Genomic DNA, 22,368 nt, shown 5'->3' on the forward strand with positions numbered 1-22,368 from the left:
AGAATCACTTGAACCAGGGAGGCGGAGGTTTCAATGAGCTGAGATCACGCCACTGCACTCCAGCCTGGGCGACAGAGTAAGACTCTGTCTCAAAAAAAAAAATTGTTTCCCAATGTTAGTTTTAGAAGATTATATAGCAGATGCCATGCTGAGGTAGTTCAGGAACCGTTTGTAAGGTAGTGATGAAATTCGGAGCTGGAGGGTGACTTACAGGTCAGTGAGAATAAAATGTTGCTGCTTATTTCTGAATGTCAAGTTACAATGACCTACTTTTTTTTTCTCATCTTCTTCATGATCCAAGTTTTCCAGGCATAAAATATTTGGAGGTGTTTTTTTCTCTTTCTTTGCTACTTCTCCTATGGTCATTGTGTTTCTTGCACTGGTCTGGCAAGGTAGACCTTTTAATCATATTTTAAGTTAAAAGATGTGGTAAAAGATTTTGAAACATTTAACAGGTTTTATTGGACAAATAGAAATTGTGTCACATTTGTGTACAAAAATGTTTCACTAAAATTAGGATTTCATTTAGGTCTATGTGTTTCTGTGGGGATGTGTGTGTGTGTGTCTGTCTCATAGCCTCTTCTGAAAATTTCTTGAAAGCAATAGAATGTTACCCCAAAAGGAAAAAAAAAACCCATATATTCACTTGCACATTAGATTTTTTTCATACAATTTCAAATGGTGGATTCATCCTTGAACTCCTGCTTATGAATCCTTTGTTCTGAAATATCACAGGCCATTTTGGATATACTTGGCTTTGGGTAGTGATTATTTGTGTAGTCTCCAGAGAAAGGTGGATGTTTGAAGTTGTATGACTTAGCAGGAAATTTCTAGATTTCAAGTGTAAGAGAAAATAAATCTTTTGCAAACCACGGGCCATACCTTGTATAAGGGAGAGAGACAACTTGAGTTTGAGGGTATTATGGAGATTTTGGATTGGAGGGAAATGGGGCTAGCGAAATATTAGAAAGCATAATTAATGGCTTTAGTGGTTTTTTAAAAACTTGGAACATACAATAACAAATGCAATGAAGACAAACGGTGGTAAATATTTACAGTTACACTAGACCTTAAAGGCAGGGATCATGTCCTAGTGGTGTGTGATTTGGGAGCTCATACCTGGGAGTCAGTAATTGGCTGTGAGAGTGGAAGAGGCCAGTCCTCATTAGAGACCTTCTGGGAGGAGATGAGTTCTGGGCCAGAGCTTCATCTTGAAGCTTGTTAGATTTTTTTTTTTTTGAGATGGCATCTCGCTGTCACCAGGCTGGAGTGCAGTGGTGTGATCTCGGCTCACTGCAACCTCTGCCTCCCAGATTCAAGCAATTCTCTGCCTCAGCCACCTGAGTAGCTGGGATTACAGGCGCCCACCACCACGCCCGGCTAATTTTTGTATTTTTAGTAGAGATGGGGTTTCACCATCTTGGCCAGGCTGGTCTTAAACTCCTGACCTCATGATCCACCTGCCTCGGCCTCCCAGAGTGCTGGGATTACAGGCGTGATCCACCGCGCCCGGCCGAAGCTTGTTAGATTTAAACTTTCCCCTGCAAGGCACGTCAGTGGTAAACCACCTAACGTGGTGGGGAAAGCCCGGAAGAGTTGAGAAGCCTCTCTACCCTCCTTTCTCCTTCGAGGTAGAGGCATCTTAACTCCCTAGCTCCTGCATTGTTACTAAGAGACCTGCAGCTAAACAAATGGTGCAAATCTTGGCCTAAAAGGAGCCAAAATTGTCACCTTAGACTGCATTTACCATCCTGCTAGCAATATGTAGTGAAAGACCACCTGCCTTCATCCTCTTGTAAATCCCAGTAATACTCTGTTTCTACCACTCACATGACATCCATTAAGTAATTGCTTTCGTTCCTTTACTAGACTGAAAGGGACCTTCATTTAAGGTCAGAGATCTTTTCTAACACAATTTGGTAGTCCTTGCCTACCATGGAAAGCCACACATATATTGCTGGTGCTTAACAAATGCTTGCTGAGCAAATGTTTAAAAGGCCAGGTAGGGCGTGCCACTGAAAATCTCTAAAAATTCTCTTTGGATTGTCTGTAATACTGATCAGGTTGGAACAACAATTCAAAGTTATGCTGTCAGAGGCTGAACGATTTCCTTGTCATTAGGACAATCAATTTTGTAATTTACCCTTAGTCTACACAGCAAGTAAATTGTAGTACTTGCATTTTTGGTTTCAATGATGTATATATAGAACCATGATGAATGGAATTATAGTCAAGTTCTGGTAATTTTAATGTATCGTCTCAGTTGTGGGTAGGGATAAGGTAGGGTCATTCATTAAATAACCATTCATTGATTAACATGTGTGAGGTGTGATTTTATGATTTTTATGAGGAAATAAACAAAAAAAAATGTGTTTTTTTGCTTGTAAGTAGTTCTCAACTTGTTAGGGGAGATAGATGCATGAGAAGTAGTTACAATCTCTAATGTGTTAAGTAAGAGAGAGGTAAGGAAGGGAGGGACAAAGGAGGAACTGATTGATTTGGCTTGGGTGCAGGGAGAGGGGCCTTAAGTATGAGTTGAGAGTCCAGGAGTTCAAGACCAGCCTCGGAAATACAGTGAGACCCCATTCTCTACAAACTAACTAAATAAATAAATATAAAAAATTTTAAGAATTAGCTGGACATGGTGGCGTGTGCCTGTAGTTCCAACTACTTGGGAGGTTGAGGCAGAAGGATTGCCTGATCCTGGGAGGTCCAGGTTACAGTGAGCACTGCACTCCAGCCTAGGCAACAGAGTAAGACATTGCCTCAAAAAAAAAAAAAAGAAAATAAAAGAAAAAAAAGTATCAGTAGAGAGTGGTAGGCAATGAGTGCCAATGAGACTGGAGTGGTGACATTCCAAGCATAGAAAAGAGACTGTGCAGAGCACAGAGGAAGATGTGGAGATCCCTGAGTAGTGTGCCTGGAGTATGAGATACAAGGGCCAGGGGACAACTGGAGATGAGGATGGACAAGGGCTGGGTGGAGACTCTGTGGGGGCTCTTAACCTTCTGTAGATTAGTTTTTTTTTTTTGTAGGTACCGGTGTTTTTGAGAGTGAAAGCAGGTCCTGACTACTGGTTTGTTTTATAGTAAATATCTCAATCCAGATCTCAGGTCTAGCTGAGGCAGGAGCCTTGGGCAAATAGTAAACAGGGACTGGAATTGGTCACAGGAGCTGTGTCATCACCCTTGCTCTTCAAATTATAAAGGAAGCCTAAACACACAAACTCCAGTGTGGGCCGGGCTGACTGCCAGATGTGCACAGGATCATTGTACAAAGTGGCAAGATTCTCTTGGATATTGGTTTATCTATTTGCTTAGAATGAAGAGAAATAAGGGTGAACTTGAAGTTTTTCTTGTTATCGTATTTTGACTTGCAAATCTGAGTAAAACTGATGGTGCAATCTCCTTTCTATGTGGGGCTGACCTCAGAAGAGTAGTGGCTTGTAGTGTAAATAAAATAGGAGCAACAGCAAACAATTAAAATACTGAATCCAGGTCACCTAGCACTCGGTGGGGTAAGGACTACTCAGACCCAGCACTTGTATAACCCGTATAACTGGATTTACATGTTCTGGCCCCCTATTCAATGTCTGACAAGCAGTTTTAATAAAAAAAAAAAAAACTTTACATTTTTATATACCTAGTAGCATTGTTAATCCTGTTTGTTTCTCAATTCAGTAACAAACAGGATAAATAACAAATATTTATCAAATACCTTCTATGTGCTAGGTTAAATTTTAGGAAAGCTTAAAATCACCTTCTCCAAGGTGATTTTCCCAGCTCATTTCCAAAAAAACACTTGCCACAGAGACTTCAGAGTCTTTGAGTGAAAACTTTGTCATTAATTGATTAATTTTATTCATTCAATAGAGATTTATTCTGGACACTTACAAAGTACCAGGCATGATGTTAGGCACTGGCACTGGGAGTTTGGTGCTGAACACTGCAGGCCCTATCCTTGTCTTCGTGGAGTTTCCATGCTAGGGGGATATTGACAAATAATAATAGCATTGCAGTGTAGCATGATAAATCATTTGAACGAGTAAATATAAGGTGCTTTGGGAGAGTGAGCAGGGGTTGCCTAACCCAGACTTAGAGGAAAGGCTTCTGGGAGAATGTCATATGTAAGCAGAGACTTGATGAAGAGCAAGAGTGGGTCAAAGGATGGAAAAGGGGGAGGATGGGTTAGGATTGGGGTGGGAGGCATCACAGGCATTCACAAGGTCATGTGCCAGAGCCCACTGTGTGCGTGTGGTGGTCCAGGGTGGGAGGTGTTGGGAGGGAATAAAAGCAATTTAGCTTGGCTATAGTGTGGAGTGTGAGGTGGAAGTAGAGAAATGGGGCTGGAGCATTGCACAGATCCTGAACATACTTTGAGCTCCGTAAAGGTGTTTGGAATTTATCCTAATGCCAATAGGAGACTGACTTTCCTAGAACGATCTCTGTAGCTGGTGTGTGAAGGATGGATGGGGTGAGGCAAACTGGAAGACAGGTAGACCAGTTAGGAAGTTTCCACAGTAATCCGGTGGGGAGATAATAGTAGCCCTAATTAGGGGAGTGGCTGTAGGAATGCGGAAAGTGGCTGGAGTCCAGAGCTCTTTAGGAGGTGGATTTCAGATTGGACTTGGTGACTGAATGGAGGTGGGGGTCTTGGGGAACTGGTAAGAAGGGGACGCTGTTCCTTGTGCAAACACAATGCTTGTCTCTGGGGGTGGGTATTATTTTCAGTGTAATTAAAAAAAATATTAAAACTGATCTAAGAAACCTTTAAATTGTCTGCTAGCTCAGCCAGGATACAGATGCTTTGGAGGGAGGAAAGAAATACGTTCAGAAGGGTGAATGCACTCCAATTTTGATTTTTCTCTCTCTCCTTTCAAATTTCAAGGCTGGTTGCATATGCCTCATTAGCTCACGGGAGACTGTGATCCTATAATCTTTTTTCATATTCAGAAAACTAGAGATGTTAAACTTCCTTGGAGAAGGTGATTTTTGCAGCCTTTGAATAAAAGCACTTCCAGTTCTACCTTTAGTTGAAAATCAATGGTGTCTAATGTGTATGAGAAGTCACCCCAGTCTCTTGTGTCCAGGCCACCAGCACTTATATGTTATGCCTATCACTTTGAGTCAAATAATCTCTAGTGGTCCCCAACTGCTAAAAATCCCCATTCTCTTGGATCTTCAATTTTTTTCTTTTAAGTTGAGAAAAAAAATCTCTCCTAGAAATGTACATTTGATTTCTTGCTGAATTAATAAGTTTTTCTCCTTCTTAATGTGTCCTCCAGGTCATTAACGGAAAAATGTAGTCTATGATGCAGCAGAGCTCTGCCCTTTTTATTTTAATACATTTTAAATATATCACAATTGTCTGCACTCTGATAAAAGAATGTAGAGCTGGAATTTTAATTTGATTATCATCCCCAATCTTCCCAGGCTTTCGCAGGCAAGTACTTTGTTTGAACAGCTGTACTCCGGTAAATCTCAGTAACAAATGAATCAGGAATGATTTTGTGTAGCAAGTCACATGAAGGGAACTTCCTTAGAAAGACAGGTCATTAAGAGAATGAAGAAAGAAAAACTAGCAAACATTTGAGAAATTTAGCAACTGTTTTTTTTTAAATAAAGCAATTTGTTCTAATAATTATTTCCTAATCATCTTAAAATACGCTGTCATTAACGGCAGAGAAAGCTCTTTATTTCCTTTTGAATTTTAATACTGGGTAGAAATATAATTTACAATGAAAGTCAGCAGGAAAGGAAAAATACTAAAAACGAGGAGGCATAAAAAATGGAAATAGATCCCTGTAGTCAATTTTCTATCATCTATAATTTTCTATCATCTATATGTGTGTTACCCATATGCTGGGGTGGAGTGGGGAGGGGAGAGGGAGGCGCTGTGAAATACATCTGCCTCCGATCACAAAAAGATCAAATTAACATGTGAAAAGATATTCCAAGGAGCTGTGGGAGAGAAAGGCTTTTGGCTTTCACCATCTTACCTACTGGATGGGTTTGAAAGCATAAAATAAAGCTAAACTAAATTCAGGGAAACATTGATTCACCCAAGTGAATAAACAACTTACTGCATTTGCTAATCTAATTAATCAAACTCTGCTTCTCCTTTTCCAAAGGAGATTCACAGGCAGTAAAATAAATTAAATCAACATTTTTTTTTTCCCACTTACTAAAAATAAGCTTTCTTTCCCTGGGTAAATCGGTCATTTAAATTCCCAAGGCTGCACTCCCGTAGTCCTCTGGCAGGAAGCAATTGTATGGGTATAAAATCATTTCTGTGCAGATTGCAGAGCTTGGGCTCTGAGCATCATGTCTGAGTTCTGCCACCTAAACTGATGAATAAGATCAGTTTTAACTGAAGTTATCTTTAGAAACAAATGGCCTATGGATGATGTTGATTAGCAGATAAAAAAGCCTGTTACATGGATGTTTTATGAAACTTAAAACTATATTGATGGCAGGAAACAATGATTTTGGAGGAAATCCTGGAAAATTAAGGATATTTAAAGTTTGAAAACAATTGTAATTGTGAAAGTTTAGACACGGAAGTCATAAAAAAATTTCAGTTCAGTAGTTTGCAGATCTGTTACTTAATCTTTTTAGTTAACTTTAGATCAGTAGAATAAGATTTAGTTTTAGACTGTATGTATATACATACGGCAATTTTATACATACATACATTTACGTAAATACAATATACAAGGAAAAGTGAAGGACAGAGTAAACGGAGAAGAAAATGAATTAAAAGATTATAAAGTGTTGAATGACAGGCTTTATGTAAGTAAGGCAAAAATGTAACACAGGAATATCCTAGATAACAAGTTAAGTATGAGCTAAGACTGTATCGCTAGGTTTTTCATTTTTTAAAGGCGTTATACCAGGATGTGGATTTAGGAGGCCTGCAGTTTAGAATTGAGAAAGAGCTCACTGTTTATATTAAGTTCTACTCACACTTACTGCATTTCCTTGTCTTTGTCATGAATGGGCACCCTTCCAAGGAAGAACCTAAATGGAAAAGTGCTTCCAGCTGAGTTCTTAATGCTACCACCTTCGTCATCTGTCTGGTGCCCTCACCTTGAGGATCAAAGGATCCCCAAGGATTGCCTTTCCCCGCATTTCCTTCTCGGATGGACTTATTTCCGTTCTTTTTAGTTTTGTTCACCCTAGGATATTATGCTCAAAACTAATTTACATGCTCAGCTAATCTTAATTAAAATGTAAAGGCAGATCAGGGCACGATCAAATTAAGTTCTGAATATACTTGGATAGTTGGGCATCAGTTTAATGGATTAAACAGTTCTTGGAATTGCTTCTCTTTCTTGACAGTAAGTCTTAGTTTTGCTGTCATTTCTTAATAGTCCCTTTTACTTCTACTTTCAAGCTGTGACTGAACATTCTCTTTTAACTTACAGACTCTTTTGCTATCTGGAAACCCATGTCCACCTCTGACTTCCACTCAAAATTGCTTTCCTCACAGTCTGACTGCGAGAGTTGTGAAAAATTGGGATGTGCTTCTGAGGTGGGCTGTGGAATGCCATGTAAGTTGCTACTTTTTTTTTTCTGAATGCAGTGGGTATTCATGCGCAGTAGGGATGTTGGCATATCTCTGATGTTTCCTTCTAAGGCTGGTGAATCTGGGTTGTTGCTGTTGGGGTTTGTAATGTAGTCCATGTCTATTAGTGAAGACACAGAGGGCAAAATAAGCAGTTTCTTTCTTCTTTCTTTCTTTCTTTTTTTTTTTTTTTTGAGATGGAGTTTCACTCTTGTTGCCCACCCAGGCTAGAGTGCAATGGTGCAATCTCGGCTCACCGAGATCTCCTCAGCCTCCCACGTTCAAGCGATTCTCCTGCCTCCTGCCTCAGCCTCCCGAGTAGCTGGAATTACAGGCGCACAGCACCACACCCGGCTGATTTTTGTATTTTTAGTAGAGACGAGGTTTCACCATGTTGGCCAGGCTGGTCTCAAACTCCTGACCGCAGGTGATCCGCTGCCTGCCTCAGCTTCCCAAAGTGGTGGAATTACAGGCGTGAGCCACTGAGCCCGGCCAAATATATATATTTATTATTTTTATTTTTTGAGACGGAGTCTCACTCTGTAGCCCAGGCTGAAGTGCAGTGGCGCGATCTCCTTTCACTGCAACCTCCGCCTCCCAAGTTCAAGCAATTCACCTGCCTCAGCCTCTGGAGTAGCTGGGATTACAGGCGTGTGCCACCACGCCAGGCTAATTTTTTGTATTTTTAGTAGAGATGGGGTTTTACCCTGTTAGCTGGGATGGTCACGATCACCTGACCTCGTGATCCGCCCGCCTCTGTCTCCCAAAGTGCTGGGATTACAGGCATGAGCCACTGTGCCTGGCCAGGGGCCAAATATTTTTATAATAAATCCACCATCTCTATACTGTTCTGTGGTGAAATATGCTGAAGATTAAATGAAACCTTTCAAACTTGGTTATCATGGATTTGGCTGCATAGTTGGCCAAACTAGATTGGTTCCTTTTTTTTTTTGAGACAGAGCCTCGCCCTGTCGCCCAGGATGGAGTGCAGTGACACGATCACGGCTCACTGCAACCTCCACCTCCCGGGTTCAAGCGATTCTTCTGCCTCAGCCTCCCGAGTAGCTGGAACCACAGGCGCGGGCCACCACACCCAGCTACTTTTTGTAGTTTTTAGTAGAGATGGGGTTTCACCATGTTGGCCAGGCTGATCTTGAACTCCTCGTGATCCACCCGCCCCGGCCTCCCTCCTGGCATTATAGGCGTGAGCCACCGCGCCCAGCAACTAGATTGGTTTCTAAGCATTCACTTTGTGATTTGTTTCATTATCTTTAACATTCAAATTGGGGAATGACTTAACTAGATGCAGGCAAAGACAATATCTTGCTTACTATCTTTAAGGTACTGCCACCTAGATACTAGAGATACAAAGATGAGTAAGACAAAGTATGTGTTGTTCTGAAAATGGTGGTTTATCTGTTACCATTTATAATGCTGCAGTATACTTGTTTATGTCTTCTAGATTGTGAGTTTGTTTGAGGTCAAAACCATGGCAGCCAAAAATTCCACATAGAAATTTCCACTAAATAGTTTAGAACTGAAAAGATAAACCATCCCAAAGTACTTTGCATTTGGTCAAATTTTTTAATTTTTTTAATTTTTTTTTGAGACAAGGCCTCACCCTGTCACCCAGGCTGGACTGCAGTGGCACGGTCATGGCTCATTGCAACCTCTGCCTCCTGGGCTCAAGCGATCCTCCAGCCTCAGCCTCTGAGTAGCTAACACCACAGACGTGTATCACCATGCCTGGCTAATTTTTTAGTTTTTATTTTTTGTAGAGACAGGGTCTCTCTATGTTGCCCAGGCTGGTCTTGAACTCCCAGGATCAATGGATCCTCCTGCCTTGGCCTCCCAAAATGCTGGGATTACAGGTATGAGCCACCATGCCCAGTGACATTTCCTAATAGCTATTATTGTCATCACAATTACTCCTTACTAATAATACCTAATATATAGATCTTGCACATCTCTTGGCTTATGTGAGCCTTAAAATTCCATGAGGTATGGAGGGCAGCAGATACTTCTGTATCTTATTGATTTGGGCAACCTGCCCAGATAATGCATGTAATTTTTCTAAGATTATGGATTTAGTAAGTTTTGCTTAAGTGCTCAGACACAGGTTTCCTCAGTCCAGATCCATTGTGCTGTTTGATAAGCTTTTACGGCTGGGCTATTACTTGAATACTTGAAGAACATGGGAATGTTTCTGTGTGTATAAGAAAGGATATAAAATTAGCCAGGTGTGGTGGTGTGTGCCTGTAGTCCCAGCTACTAGGGAGGCTGAGGTGGGAGCGTTGCTTGAGCCCAGGAGGTAGAGGTTGCAATGAGCTGAGATCCCACCACTGCACTCCAGCCTGAGCAATACAGTGAGACCCTATCTCAAAAAAAAAAAAAAAAAAAGCATGTAGGGGAAACATTATCAACATTATCACTATTTTTACGTGTTTGGAACCGTACCTGGTAGTTGGGGTATTGGTCTTTCTTACTCTGAAACTTCTCAGGGTAAAATTTCAAATGTGTGTTGCTTATGTCTACTTTTATTTTGGCTTAATAGAGAAATTTTCTTTTCTGACATGCAGGCCTAGAGGTGAAACATGTGTGACCATGCCCTTGTACACCGGCCTCTGCTCACCTGTTTGCCTCATTTCATTAAGTTCTCCCCCATGCCATTCACTATGCTCAAGACCAGTGGTTCATCTTTTCCACCACAGGGCCTTTGCACTGCCTGGCCCTCTGCCTACAATACCATTCCCCTTTCCCCACCTCAACACCTCAACCTTGGCTTGGTTGAGTCTTATGCATCCCTTTGGACTTAGGCTAAAGGTTGCTTGGCCAGAGAAGACTTCCCAAAGAGAATGAATATTGTGCGACAACCTCAGTAAATGTTTGAATCAGGGTCCCTAATTGTAAGCGACAGAAACGGACTCTGGTTAAGCAGAAATGGAATTTATTGAGAGGATATTGAGAAGCTTGTGGTCGCCTTGGGAAGGCTGAAGAACTAGGCACATAGCTAAACGTTTCGGAAACAGTTTCCAAAACCATGGCAAAGAACTGGCCTAAAGAGGAAACCGTCACCACCTGTGCTGCCCCCTTGAGCCCTGAATGCTGTGGTTTCTTTCTTTCTTTCTTTTTTTTTTTTTTTTTTTTAAGTTGGAGTCTTGCTCTGTCACCTAGGCTGGAGTACAGTGGCGCTATCTCGGCTCACTGCAACCTCTGCCTCCCAGGTTCAAGTGATTCTCCTGCCTCAGCCTCCGGAGTAGTTGGGATTACAGGTGCCCACCACTACGCCCAGCTAATTTTTTGTATTTTTTTTTTTTTTTTTTTTGAGACGGAGTCTCGCTCTGTCGCCCAGGCTGGAGTGCAGTGGCATGGATCTCGGCTCACTGCAAGCTCCTCCTCCCAGGTTCACACCATTCTCCTGCCTCAGCCTCCCGAGTAGCTGGGACTACAGGTGCCTGCCACCACGCCCGGCTAATTTTTTGTATTTTTAGTAGAGATGGGGTTTCACCGTGTTAGCTAGGATGGTCTCAATCTCCTGACCTCGTGATCCGCCCGCCTCGGCCTCCCAAAGTGCTGGGATTACAGGTGTGACCACCGCGCCTGGCCAATTTTTTGTGTTTTTAGTGGAGGCAGGGTTTCACCATGTTGGCCAGGCTAGTCTTGAACTCCTGACCTCAAGTGATCTGCCCTCCTCAGCCTCCCAAAGTGCTAGCATTACGGGCATGAGGCATCGCACCCGACCGGTTGCTGTGGTTTCTAATGCTGCCAGGAAATCTGCCTGCTCTGAGAAGGCAGCCTTGCAACCATCACTGGCCCCCTAAGCTGGATACCATGATTGCCATCCTTACCTGTAATAAAACCATGTCAAATCCATACCGGTATGTCGCTTCCTCCTGCAAGTTGCCCGCATGTGAATCCAAGTTGTTCAAGGGTGAATCTGATTGGTGGTACTGAAGTCACCCTAGCTGCAAAGGAGACTGGAGAACGAAGTTTTCTGAGTTCTTTAATTGGAAAGTGGGACTTATTAGCTGAAAATTATCCAGCTACATCAAGGGTGTTCAAAAGGTGCTAACCAGGGGGAAAACATGACAAATATCTTCTACACTGAGACGCAGGGTTTTAATCCACCTATGGACCAACCATACTTACCTCACAGGGTTGTTATAAGGATTAAGGTAATTTACATGAAACTGCTTATTAATAAACTGTACAGAGAGCATAAGTATAAAATAATATTATTTCTCTAGTGTAACATATCTTTGACTGAAGCATAAAATCAAGTCCTTAATAAGTTGACAAATCTCCAGCTCACTTTATATGTTTTTAAAATGGTAAGGATATTCTTCTCCCCCAAAAGCCATTTTAAATATTCAAGATAAATTGAAAAAAGAAAAAAAGTACCTCTTCTATGAACGTGCTGCCCTCATAAATTTCTATCATCTTCACGTTTATTTTGTAATGGAAATATACAAACAATGCCAAGCATAGAAATTGTAGTTTAAAACATGTGAGTGGGTTTTCAGCTACTTTTGATTTGTTTCTGATTTTAAGGCTTTGTTCTAATCTACTTTTTATACTCTGGTTTCAACATGAATACAGCCCTCTTGTTTGAAAACAGACAATGGGCTTATTCAACCCTCAAGGCCCTCTACATTTGGTGTTTCTGCCACGGCCCTTGGTGGCTTTACCACATATATTATTATCTTGTAAAAAATGTAGACGTAACAGCTGAGTTGTTAGCAGAAGTCATAGTAGTTGTGTAAAAGGGTGTTAGTGTAAATGATTGTGGCAGTTGCATTAACGCTAATGCAGTGGGAATTATTCACGTATTCACTGAATGTAATCCTGGCCTTCCGTGGTGGTAAAGTTCCTCTATAGAAGAGGAGAGGTCGACATCAATGTAATTTCAGAGGAGAAACAGCCATGTGTAGAGCTATTTTCCTATTTGACAGAAATGTTTTCCAGTATAACATCAGAATTTTGAGTTATGCTACTTAACTTTCCTTTCTTGTAAATATTGAATTAAAATAAGATATTGCTAGAAAAAGTAAAACATGACCCAGCATTGCAATGCTGAAAATTGGATTATAATTCTCAGATTGTTAGATTTCTGCCATCTTATAATTTATTCAAGAATATAGAGAATTCTAACGTAAGTGTCTTCATGCACCTTCTTACTTAAGTGATACTTCATGTTACCCTGAACTGTCCTGAATTTCCAAAAATCTCATGTTGGGTTAAGAGGAATTTCCTTTCAAGATACTCTGTCTCCTCTTCAACATCTTCTCAACCCTTTTCTCCCCACCCACACATACTCACTCATTTACACTTAACCTAAAGAGGACACTGATTTTAGGACACTGGAAATCTGGAATCCTTACACTGTGTTTTAGTAAAGGTATGAGCCTGGAACTCCTGAAGGCCTTAAAAAATAGCACTGTAGTAAATAGAGCTTAGTTGGGGTAAACAGAGCACCCCGGAAAGTAGTATATTTTGGTGATTCAAAATTTATTTCACTTCTCTGATCTGTGTAAGTATTTATGTGATCTGTAAATACTTCCCAGCCATAAAAATTCTAATTTCATCTCTCAAGATACATAGTGGGCACTTGTGCAACTGTATTCAGGGAGCTGTCTGTTGGTTGGAGAGGGAGATGAAGTAGATTGAGGTGCAAATGGCATATTTAATGCCGAAGCTGTTGCTTTAATTGGTGATGTTGAAAGTCACTTGAAACCACCCCCCTAGTCCTCAAGGGAGTTCTCAGGTTACGTGTGGGTGTACTGTGAATGCCTTTTATTTTATTGACTCACTAAATTCTTAGATTACTCTTTACCATTTGATATTGACAGACCATAAAATTCTTATGGAACCTGCTCAGTAGTGACTTATAAAGAATTATCTTGTTAATAAACTCAGCATCATTTGGAATTCAAGTTTAATTAAAATGGAAAAGTAAATGATGATGTAAAGATTTTTCCTCATTTAAACTTGTATCCTTTTATTGCCTCTCTGTCTTTTCTCTAAATTCAAAGATAGATTTTATTTGACACCCATTTTTGCAAGGTGCATTTTTACAGAATCTGTTGTAGGACTTCTTCTCATTAGCTTTTAAATTATTATTATTTTTAAATTAGAGAAGGAGTTGTGAGATAGAGTCTGAGAGAGGTAAAAATGAAAAATCTATGTTATCCAGGGATTTTAGTTTTTGGGATGCTGTTTAAAGATAATGATTGTTTATGGACTCTTTAAAGATGTTTTCTCATAAGAGTTGCCAAGTAACAGATTAGTTATCTGAGGGTGGTTTGAAAGACCTTTTGAAATTGCCTGGGTGACAATACTACCTTATGGTACTTATAAAGCTCCTTTGAAGTTGGCCTTTTATATTAGAAAACCAGAAAATATTTTTCTTTTATTAAACAGAAAACAATACATGGTTCAGAGGTTAGTATTTTTTTTTTTTAGAAAAAATTACATTGGTTATTTTTGTGATTGACTCCAATTTTTTTTTTAAATCTTTCAGCCTTTGTGGGCTACTGGATTTTTCTAAATTAAGGTTCTTAGTATAATACGTTTGGCTGCTCTTGTAAACTATAGTTACGAGGTACATACTGTTATACCTCGAAATTTGAGGCCCTCTTCTTTTTTCTCTTCTGTTTCAGACACTGTGGTACAAAACCTGCAGCCCCCAAGCTTGGTTAAGAGAATTTTGGATTGAAATAAATATTGTAGGGCATGCGGCATTCCTGCACAACCCTTGTTATACACAGTCACACTGAAAGAACAGGTTAAATGGAAGGGGCTGTCAGGGGTCAGGGCTAGAAACTCACAGAGGCAGATATTGCAGTTTGGATAAGCAGGAGTTTATGAGAGTCCTCTTCAGTCCAAGCTTATCTGAGCTCACAAAGGAGATTTACGGTCTGTTGCTCTGCAAAAGCTATTTGGGCAGGCACTTTTCTTCCCAACTAGCTTTTAAGTGCTCCTGGGGCCCTCAAGCCTATTCACTTAGGCCTCTCAGATTATGAATACATAAACCTTAATGATTTTGGAGTCCCAAAGGAAGACATATTAACTGGTACATCATCAAAACATGATGCTGCTAATAGAATGGACAAATACATCGTAGGGCATCACAAATTCACCCGTTTTCTAGTAGTGACTATAATAATAAGTTTTTGCAACCCGTAAAGAACATTTATTCTGTTCTAGCATTGATAGGATGACTGATATTGATTATAAATTTATATTCAAATAGTGGAACCAGTTGTTTGATAGACATAACCTCTGAGACCAGCAGTAATGATTTTAGTTTTTAATGGTTTGACAAAATATACAAGGCATTTGATGAATACACAAGTTGGTTATTTCAAGCATCTTGGAGCTTCAGTCTTCCCATATTCAATAGTGATGTAGACCATGCAGTCTGTTCCCCCTTTACAGGTATAATTTGTCTTTCAAAATAAAAATTGTGATTGTGATTGTTACTAACACATTGTGTCTCTTAATATTCTTTAAATACTTCAATCTTTTCAAGCAACGTTTGGCATAACCTGAATTCCACTCAAAATCCCTCAGGAGAGAATAGAAACTGTCATATGAAATTGGTTATAATAGGATTTAACCTATAGAGTTCTGATTCTTTCTTCCCTTCAATTTTTATCAAGTATTTAATTGCCCACTGGATGATTTATTTTAGAATTGGCCTACTTTTTTTTTTTTTTTTTTTTTTGGCTTCAGTGCCTGTGGGCAAATGTAAATTTGCAGCTGAATTAGCAAACCAGGGATCTCTGTGTAACTTAATAACCACAACAGGGAATCAAGTAACTGATTTCCCTCTTTTTCTAGATTGGCCATGTGTGTAAGGTGGTAGAACTAGAATTAGGAGATAAGGGGGGGTTATGAGGAAATGATTAATTTCAAATTGTTTTATTAATACAAAAAGAATGTACATTTATTGCGGAAAATACAGAAAAGTAAAAAGAAGAAAAGAAAATCCATTATTCTTCCACTCAGAGAAGTTATGTGAATGTTTTGATATCTTTTATTTCAATCTTTTACTTTTTTGAAATATTTTATGCATAAAAAGTGTACATACATTTCTGAAATAGACAGCAATAAAAGGCTGACCCATGCGTCTGCCATCCAGCATAGAACAGTCTCAATTCTGTTTTATCTTTCAATTATTCCTCCTCACCCGTACCTCAGATACAACTTTTCCCTTTTCAATTAAAGTTAATTTCTCCAAAATAAAATGTAATTTTGATAATTTCAAACACGTTTAGTCTCTTAGCATATTTTACATAAGTCAGCATCCTGACATTTTTGTTTTCCATTTTCTTGTGTTCCTTCATGATTTCGCCATATATGTGTCCCTAACTAATAATTGCTTTATTTTGCATGTTTTAAAGCTTCAAATACATGAAACTGTACTGTGTTTCTTCTATCGCCTTTTTAAAAATTAACGTTATATGTTTTGTGATGTGCGCAACTTTATACATTTATTTTCATTGCTGTATAGTACTACTGTGTATGAATGTACCTCAGTTTATCCATTTCCTGTCAGTGTACTTGTGGGTTTTGTTTTGTAGCAGATTCTGTCAGTTCCTCACCCACGTCTTTTAGCTGTTTCGTGATGCACTCATCAACCTCCAGATGCATTATCTGCATCTGTGTCTAAGCGCTCTCCTCTCCATCCCAACTACAGAAAGCCTTGCACATCACAGAAAGCCAGGAGTGCCCCTGGGGGCAGGTCTCAACCAATGACTCTGGGGAGTTGGGGTGTAAATACCGCAGCTCCCTTGGATAATTGCAGTTCCCCTAGTTTCTCTATGAGACGATGCCCCAGTGACTCACACAGTAGTTGGTTTAATGGTACACCGTTTATTGGCTGCCTTTTCTTCCCTGTCTTACTCCCCCATACCCCTACCAGTTTTTTTTGTTTATTTTTTTCTTCTAAATAAACTTAATTTTTGTCTTAGGGTCTGCTTCTGAGAGGAGCTAAACTAAGTCAAGTAGTTTGCAGTTTGGGTCATTGCAAATAATACTGCTGTGGACATTCTTGTATCCTGGTACACAGAGCAACTGGTACACAGTTTTTCTGGGATATATTCCCAAGGAGAATAACTGGATTACAGGGCATGCATATATTCCACTTCCTGAGTTGGTGCAGGCTTGTTTTTCAAGGTGGTTGGGACAAACATTCATGAGTAATGAGTAAAATATTCCTATCATTCAACACCATTGCAAACTTACCTTTGGTATTGTGTTTAGCATAGTTTCTTTTAATTTGTATTTCTGGATACTTAATGAGATTGTACATCTTTACATATATTATTGGCCATTTCTATGCAAATGAATATTTGCATTTGTCACTTCTTCTATGGTCTGTATTTTTTTTTTTTTTTTTTGAGATGAGGTCTCACTATGTTGCCCAGGATGGTCTGTTCTTGGGCTCAAGTGATCCTCCTGCCTTAGCCTTCTTAGTAGCTGGGACCACAGGCATGTGCCATTGTGTCTGGCTGTAATTTGCTTTTTTGTAGGAGCTCTTTATAAATTCTAGGTAGTAGCATTTTATGTGTCTTTTAGACATTCTCTCCAAGTTTGTGGCTTGTCAGCTCCCTTTCTTTATGAGTCATTTTTAATGAACAAACATGAAGTCAAAGCACTTAGTTTTTTTTTTTTTGAGACGGAGTCCCTCTCTGTCACCTAGGCTGGAGTGCAATGGTGCGATCTCGGCTCACTGCAACCTCCGCCTCCTGGGTTCAAGTGATTCTCCTGCCTCAGCCTCCTGAGTAGCTGGGATTATAGGTGCCTGCCACTATGCCCAGCTAATTTTTGTATTTTTAGTAGAGATGGGGTTTCACCATGTTAGTCAGGGTGGTCTTGAACTCCTGACCTCAGGTGATCCACCCGCCTCTGCCTCCCAAAGTGTTGGGATTACAGGCGTGAGCCACCACGCCCGGCACAGCACTTAGTCTTTCACAATTAAATGTGATGCTACTTGTAAGTTTTTTAGCAGTCCTTTTAACTGTAATGTTTGGATCATTTGCATTTAATGCAATTATCCAGATGGTTGGGTTTGAAATCCATTATTTTATTATTTCCTTTCTTTTTGAGAAGTGCTGGGATTACAGGTGTGAGCCACCATGCTTAGCCTATTTTATTATTTCTTTTCTCTTTTCTTTCTCCCACACACTCCTCCTCCTCCTGTTGCATTTAATACTTCATACACAGAAGCAGAACTCCAGTACATTTACATGTTAGCAGTGTTTTGTCCTGTGGACAAGGAGAGGATTCCTTCCTATATTGGAATTGCCAGCTGTGTAGTAGATAACTGGAATAAAGTGTTTCTGATGGAATGTGTTTGGATATCACTCATGTAGGAAAAGCATAGGAGCGTGCGTTTGTAATTCTGAACACATTCAGTGGGTGGCTTTGTTTGCTAATAAGGTGGTTCTTGAAATGCCACAGAAGTGGACAAATATGTTAGAAAGTCTGAAATACTTGAACATGATACCTACCTTTGAGGACTAAGTGAGACAAGTGATGAGTCGAGGCGATATCAAGGCGATAGGGGAACATCTGTGGTAGCTCACTGGGCCTATGATCGCATTCTTCTCAGGTCAGAAGTCCCATGCGAGAGACCCAAAGCCACAGCTCGCTTCATTCCTCTGACGAAGGCAAGCTTGCTGCTCAGCTCTCCTACGTTAATCTGCCAATAAGTTCTGCAAAACTCACTTGGTTTTTTAAAAAACTAATTGAACTCACACGAAAGCTTTATCAGTCAACCCTTAAGTCTTGCTGCCTTAAACAGATCAGTGTAAAAGGAGTTTTTGTAATGTTTATAGAATGAGGTTGTGTGAGGTCACTGAAATGGTGTTTGTTTTTCTTGCAGCTATTTCAGTGGCAGTTATACAAAGCTTGATATGCTTTGTTTGGGAATGTGTGATACTGTAAGCATGCCATTTTTGGTCTGTGCTAACTGAAGCAACATTTTACCCTGTGTGTAGATAGTGTGGTGTATAATCATTCCTGTGATTTTAATAACAGAATTATAATATGTGAGACCTCAAATGGGTGTTAGACATCATCCAACTTCCTCACCACAGAAAAATATATAGGCAGGAAGAAATTTTAAAAACTCGTTTCATCATGCCAGCTAGGAAATTTTGGTAGATTATGTAAAATAGAGATTCACCCACAAAATGTAATAGTAAAGTTTCAAGAATGAGAATGGCAGACGAAGTTTTAGGAGAATGTCTGTTGCTCAAGTGAGGCATTCAGTAGAAAGTAGTGGAAAATTGGTTGGGGGTCATACATCTAAGCTTAGGAGCATTATATGCAATCTTACAATATTCTCAAGGCCAAATCTCATGCATATCTTTATGCAGCCCCTGTCAGAGACTGCGTTTAAGAAAGAAGATACTTTAAAAAAATGGTTAAAATGGTTTTTTTTTTTTTTTTTTGGAGACAGAATCTCGAAGTCTTGGAGTCTCACTCTGTTGCCCAGGCTGGAGTACAGTGGCGTAATCTTGGATCACTGCAACCTCTGCCTCCCGGGTTCAAGTGATTCTTCTACCTCAGCCTCCTAAGTAGCTGGGATTACAGGTGTGTTCCACTACGTCTAGCTAATTCTTGTATTTTTAGTATTGACAGGGTTTCACTATGTTTGTCAGGCTAGTCGTGAACTCCTGACCTTGTGATCCGCCAGGCCTCCCAAAGTGCTGGGATTACAGACATGAGCCACCACACCCGGCCAAAATGGTAAATTTTTATGTTATGTATATTTTGCTACAATTAAACAAAAGCAAATGCAAATAAAGACAAAGGAGGCTGTGGATTTTCACCATTTTTTTTCTTGTTTTTTGTGTAAAGGGGAAGGCAGTTACCAACCCCTGTGGACAGGAATCGCTTTTGAAGGTAGGGCTGAGGTGATCATCAACCAAGTTGTAAAGATCAAAACTGACCAGCCTGCCGGAGACTACCTAACCCTGTTCCTGTTTCTGCCGTATCAAGTGAGGACTTTCTGTTCCCTCTGGCGATGCTACTCTGTGTGACTCATGATTCCACGTAGGCTTGAAGGAATGGTCTTTATTCAGTGCCTGTTAGGTGTGAAGCAAGGTATTAGAAATTGTATATACATTATCACATTGATGTATCACAATCATCTGCTGGAGGTGGTATTATCCCTAATTTTTAGACAAAAAAAGTGAGATTCTGAGAGGGAAAGTGTAGTCTCCAAGCTCACACGTGTAGCAGTTCAGAGAATTCAAACCCAGATCTCTGTTTTTGAACTCCTTGACCTTGTCTTTATAATGTCATTGCCTCAAATTTTGTATCCACCCAAGCTAAATGGAAGGAAGAATTTAGTACCTTAGACTTGGTATATTGTTTTTCAGGGGAAATAAGTATAAGAAATAGGATTTCGTTTGGCATGGAGTATTTCATTCATATATGAGATTTTTAGTGGGAACCCACTTGGTGCTAGACGTTGTTTGTAGGCATTGGTGAGCCATATCTCTGTGCAAGACAGGCGTAGTCCTTGCTCTCAGGGAATAATAAATTATGCCATAGCTGTGTAAACCCACTTCGTCTGCATGCAGAAATTTATTTGAAACTGAATTAAGGACAACAATCAAGCTTTTAACTATTTCTCTGTTACTTTCATCACCATCAGCTGTGGTCCGGTTTAGCGGAAGCAAAATAGACAAATTCAGTAAAATGTCTTTCTGTGGAGAACTCCCAAAATGAATACGCTGAGCCGGGCACGGTGGCTCATGCCTGTATTCCCAGCACTTTGGGAGGCCGAAGCCGGCTGATCACGAGGTCAGCAGTTCGAGACCAGCCTGGCCAACATGGTGAAACCCCATCTCTACTAAAAATACAAAAATTAGCCAGGTGTGGTGGCACGCACCTGTAATCCCAGCTACTCGGAAGGCTGGGGCAGGAGAATCTCTTGAACCCGGGAGGCAGAGGTTGCAGTGAACTGAGATCGTGCCACTGAACTCCAGCCTGGGCGACAGGGTGAGACTCCGTCTCAAAAAATAAATAAATAAAAATAAAAATAAATACACTGAGTCTCATGATCTGAGAGAGTTAATGTTCTGTAAAGTTGCTGTGAACACTGAATTAGCAAATACTGAACCATTGCTCCTAGGGAAAATACAGGGTTAGGTTCCTGAGAGCCTCTGGCTGCAAGATTTTCATCAATGAACACATATGCTTATTTTATGTGTTTTATTTAGCATGTATTTTATTTAATATGTTTTATTTGTATTTTAAAATATATTTACATTTAGATTTGATACATATATTTAATATATGTGTAATTTAATGTATATTATTGGTTCATTAACATTAAACTCATGGCTAATAGTGCTACAACTCATGCCTAAGTGAAGCTTAGCAAACACGTGCCTTTTCTCTGCAAGGTACATCACAGACTTCTTGCGCTTAGTAACACTAGATATTAATAGCATTTCAGCCCTCCATCTGGGGGGCATTGCAAACAGTGAAATCACCAACAAAAAGCATAAAAATGCAAAGAACATGGCATTAAAAATGACACTTGTTTACATGATTGAAGCTGAAACAAGAAGGCAGCGTGTCACCTTGTTCAGCGTCAGCTGGGAATGTGTGTTGGGCAACTTAGAACTTTCACTGCTCTGTGCATGTTTGAGAAAGCAGGAAAGCACCATGCATATTGATTTTGGGGTTACACGTAAATTTCTGCAAGTTAGGTGAATTTGCAAATACAGAATCTGTAAACAGTAAGGTTTGACTCTATTAATGTCAATAATAAAACATAATGAGAAAAATATGAGATATTGCAATACACAGAATTCAAATAGGGCAATGGGAAGGTGCCTGGGGCGGGTGCTACAGATTGGGAGGTCAGCTGAGGTGTCTCTGAAGAGGTTTCATCTAAACTGAGATCTGGATTACAAGGAGGAGCCTGTCCTGTGAAGATCAGGGGGAAGGGCATTTGAGGTGGGAGTGAGTACAGGCAGGGCAAAGGCTCCAAGACAGAATGAGTTTGGTGTGAGGAAACCCAAAGAGACCACTGTGGCTGCCAGAAATGGAGAGCTTTGGAGGCAAGTACAGGCCTGGTCACTAGGGCCTTGTCGGCTGGAGTGGGGGTAAGGATTTGTGCTCAGTGAGTGATTCTTGCTATATTTCTCCGTAAATGTTGCGGCATTTTTTTCATTTTCCCTGCCACACTTCCTAAGTGGAGGTGTTGCTTTTTACTTCTTTGCTCTTTTTTGGTGTCCTAGACACAGTAGCCCCTATATGTGCTGAGTGACACCAAGCTTTCGGCTTCTGGTGCTGTAACCTTTCCTTCCTTCTGTGACCATTGTGAATGAGGATGGAGTATGAATGGGTGATATCATGAGAGAGAGTCTGCATTGTATTGTATTGGTGTGGTGGGGGTGCTGAGGGGTAGGGAAGCAGGAAGAGGCAATGTGTACAGGAATAAAAGTTACTTAAATGCTCCAGGTCTGAGTTTTCTTAGTTGATGATTAGCTATGTCTATCAGGAAACAAAGGGTCGTCACCCAGGCTGGAGTGCAATGGCGCAATCTCGGCTCACTGCAACCTCCGCCTCCCAGGTGATTCTCCTGCGTCAGCCTCCCGAGTAGCTGGGATTACAGGCGCATGCCACCGCACCCGGCTAATTTTTTTGTATTTTTAGTAGAGACAGGGTTTCACCCTGTTGACCAGGCTGGTCTCGAACTCCTGACCTCAGGTGATCCACTCACCTCGGCCTCCCAAAGTGCCGGAATTACAGGCATGAGCCACTGTGCCC

At 40.4% G+C, this 22,368-nt stretch overlaps 2 long non-coding RNA genes across 2 annotated transcripts in view, besides 3 other annotated features; both read left to right on the plus strand.

The window, feature by feature from the left end:
* The window catches only part of CASC15 (cancer susceptibility 15), a 529,408-nt gene that overhangs the window by 69,078 nt on the left and 437,962 nt on the right, over positions 1 to 22,368 (plus strand). The gene's annotated exons all lie outside the window — the stretch shown is intronic.
* Positions 3,314 to 4,236: an enhancer, noted in NCBI's record as "H3K27ac-H3K4me1 hESC enhancer chr6:21739035-21739957 (GRCh37/hg19 assembly coordinates)". NCBI's record gives its function as "activates a minimal SCP1, AML or CMV promoter by ChIP-STARR-seq in naive H9 embryonic stem cells {active_cell/tissue: H9 hESC(naive)}" and the evidence as "EXISTENCE:reporter gene assay evidence [ECO:0000049][PMID:30033119]".
* Positions 5,161 to 6,083: an enhancer, noted in NCBI's record as "OCT4-NANOG-H3K27ac hESC enhancer chr6:21740882-21741804 (GRCh37/hg19 assembly coordinates)". NCBI's record gives its function as "activates a minimal SCP1, AML or CMV promoter by ChIP-STARR-seq in naive and primed H9 embryonic stem cells {active_cell/tissue: H9 hESC(naive and primed)}" and the evidence as "EXISTENCE:reporter gene assay evidence [ECO:0000049][PMID:30033119]".
* Positions 6,084 to 7,007: an enhancer, noted in NCBI's record as "OCT4-NANOG-H3K27ac hESC enhancer chr6:21741805-21742728 (GRCh37/hg19 assembly coordinates)". NCBI's record gives its function as "activates a minimal SCP1, AML or CMV promoter by ChIP-STARR-seq in naive H9 embryonic stem cells {active_cell/tissue: H9 hESC(naive)}" and the evidence as "EXISTENCE:reporter gene assay evidence [ECO:0000049][PMID:30033119]".
* LOC124901274 (uncharacterized) lies at positions 19,210 to 20,149 on the plus strand. Its single transcript, XR_007059492.1, has 2 exons — positions 19,210 to 19,326; positions 19,438 to 20,149. It is a non-coding gene; the product is annotated as an uncharacterized LOC124901274 (long non-coding RNA).

The sequence above is a fragment of the Homo sapiens genome, chromosome 6 (assembly GCF_000001405.40).
Source record: "Homo sapiens chromosome 6, GRCh38.p14 Primary Assembly".
Lineage (NCBI taxonomy): Eukaryota > Metazoa > Chordata > Mammalia > Primates > Hominidae > Homo > Homo sapiens.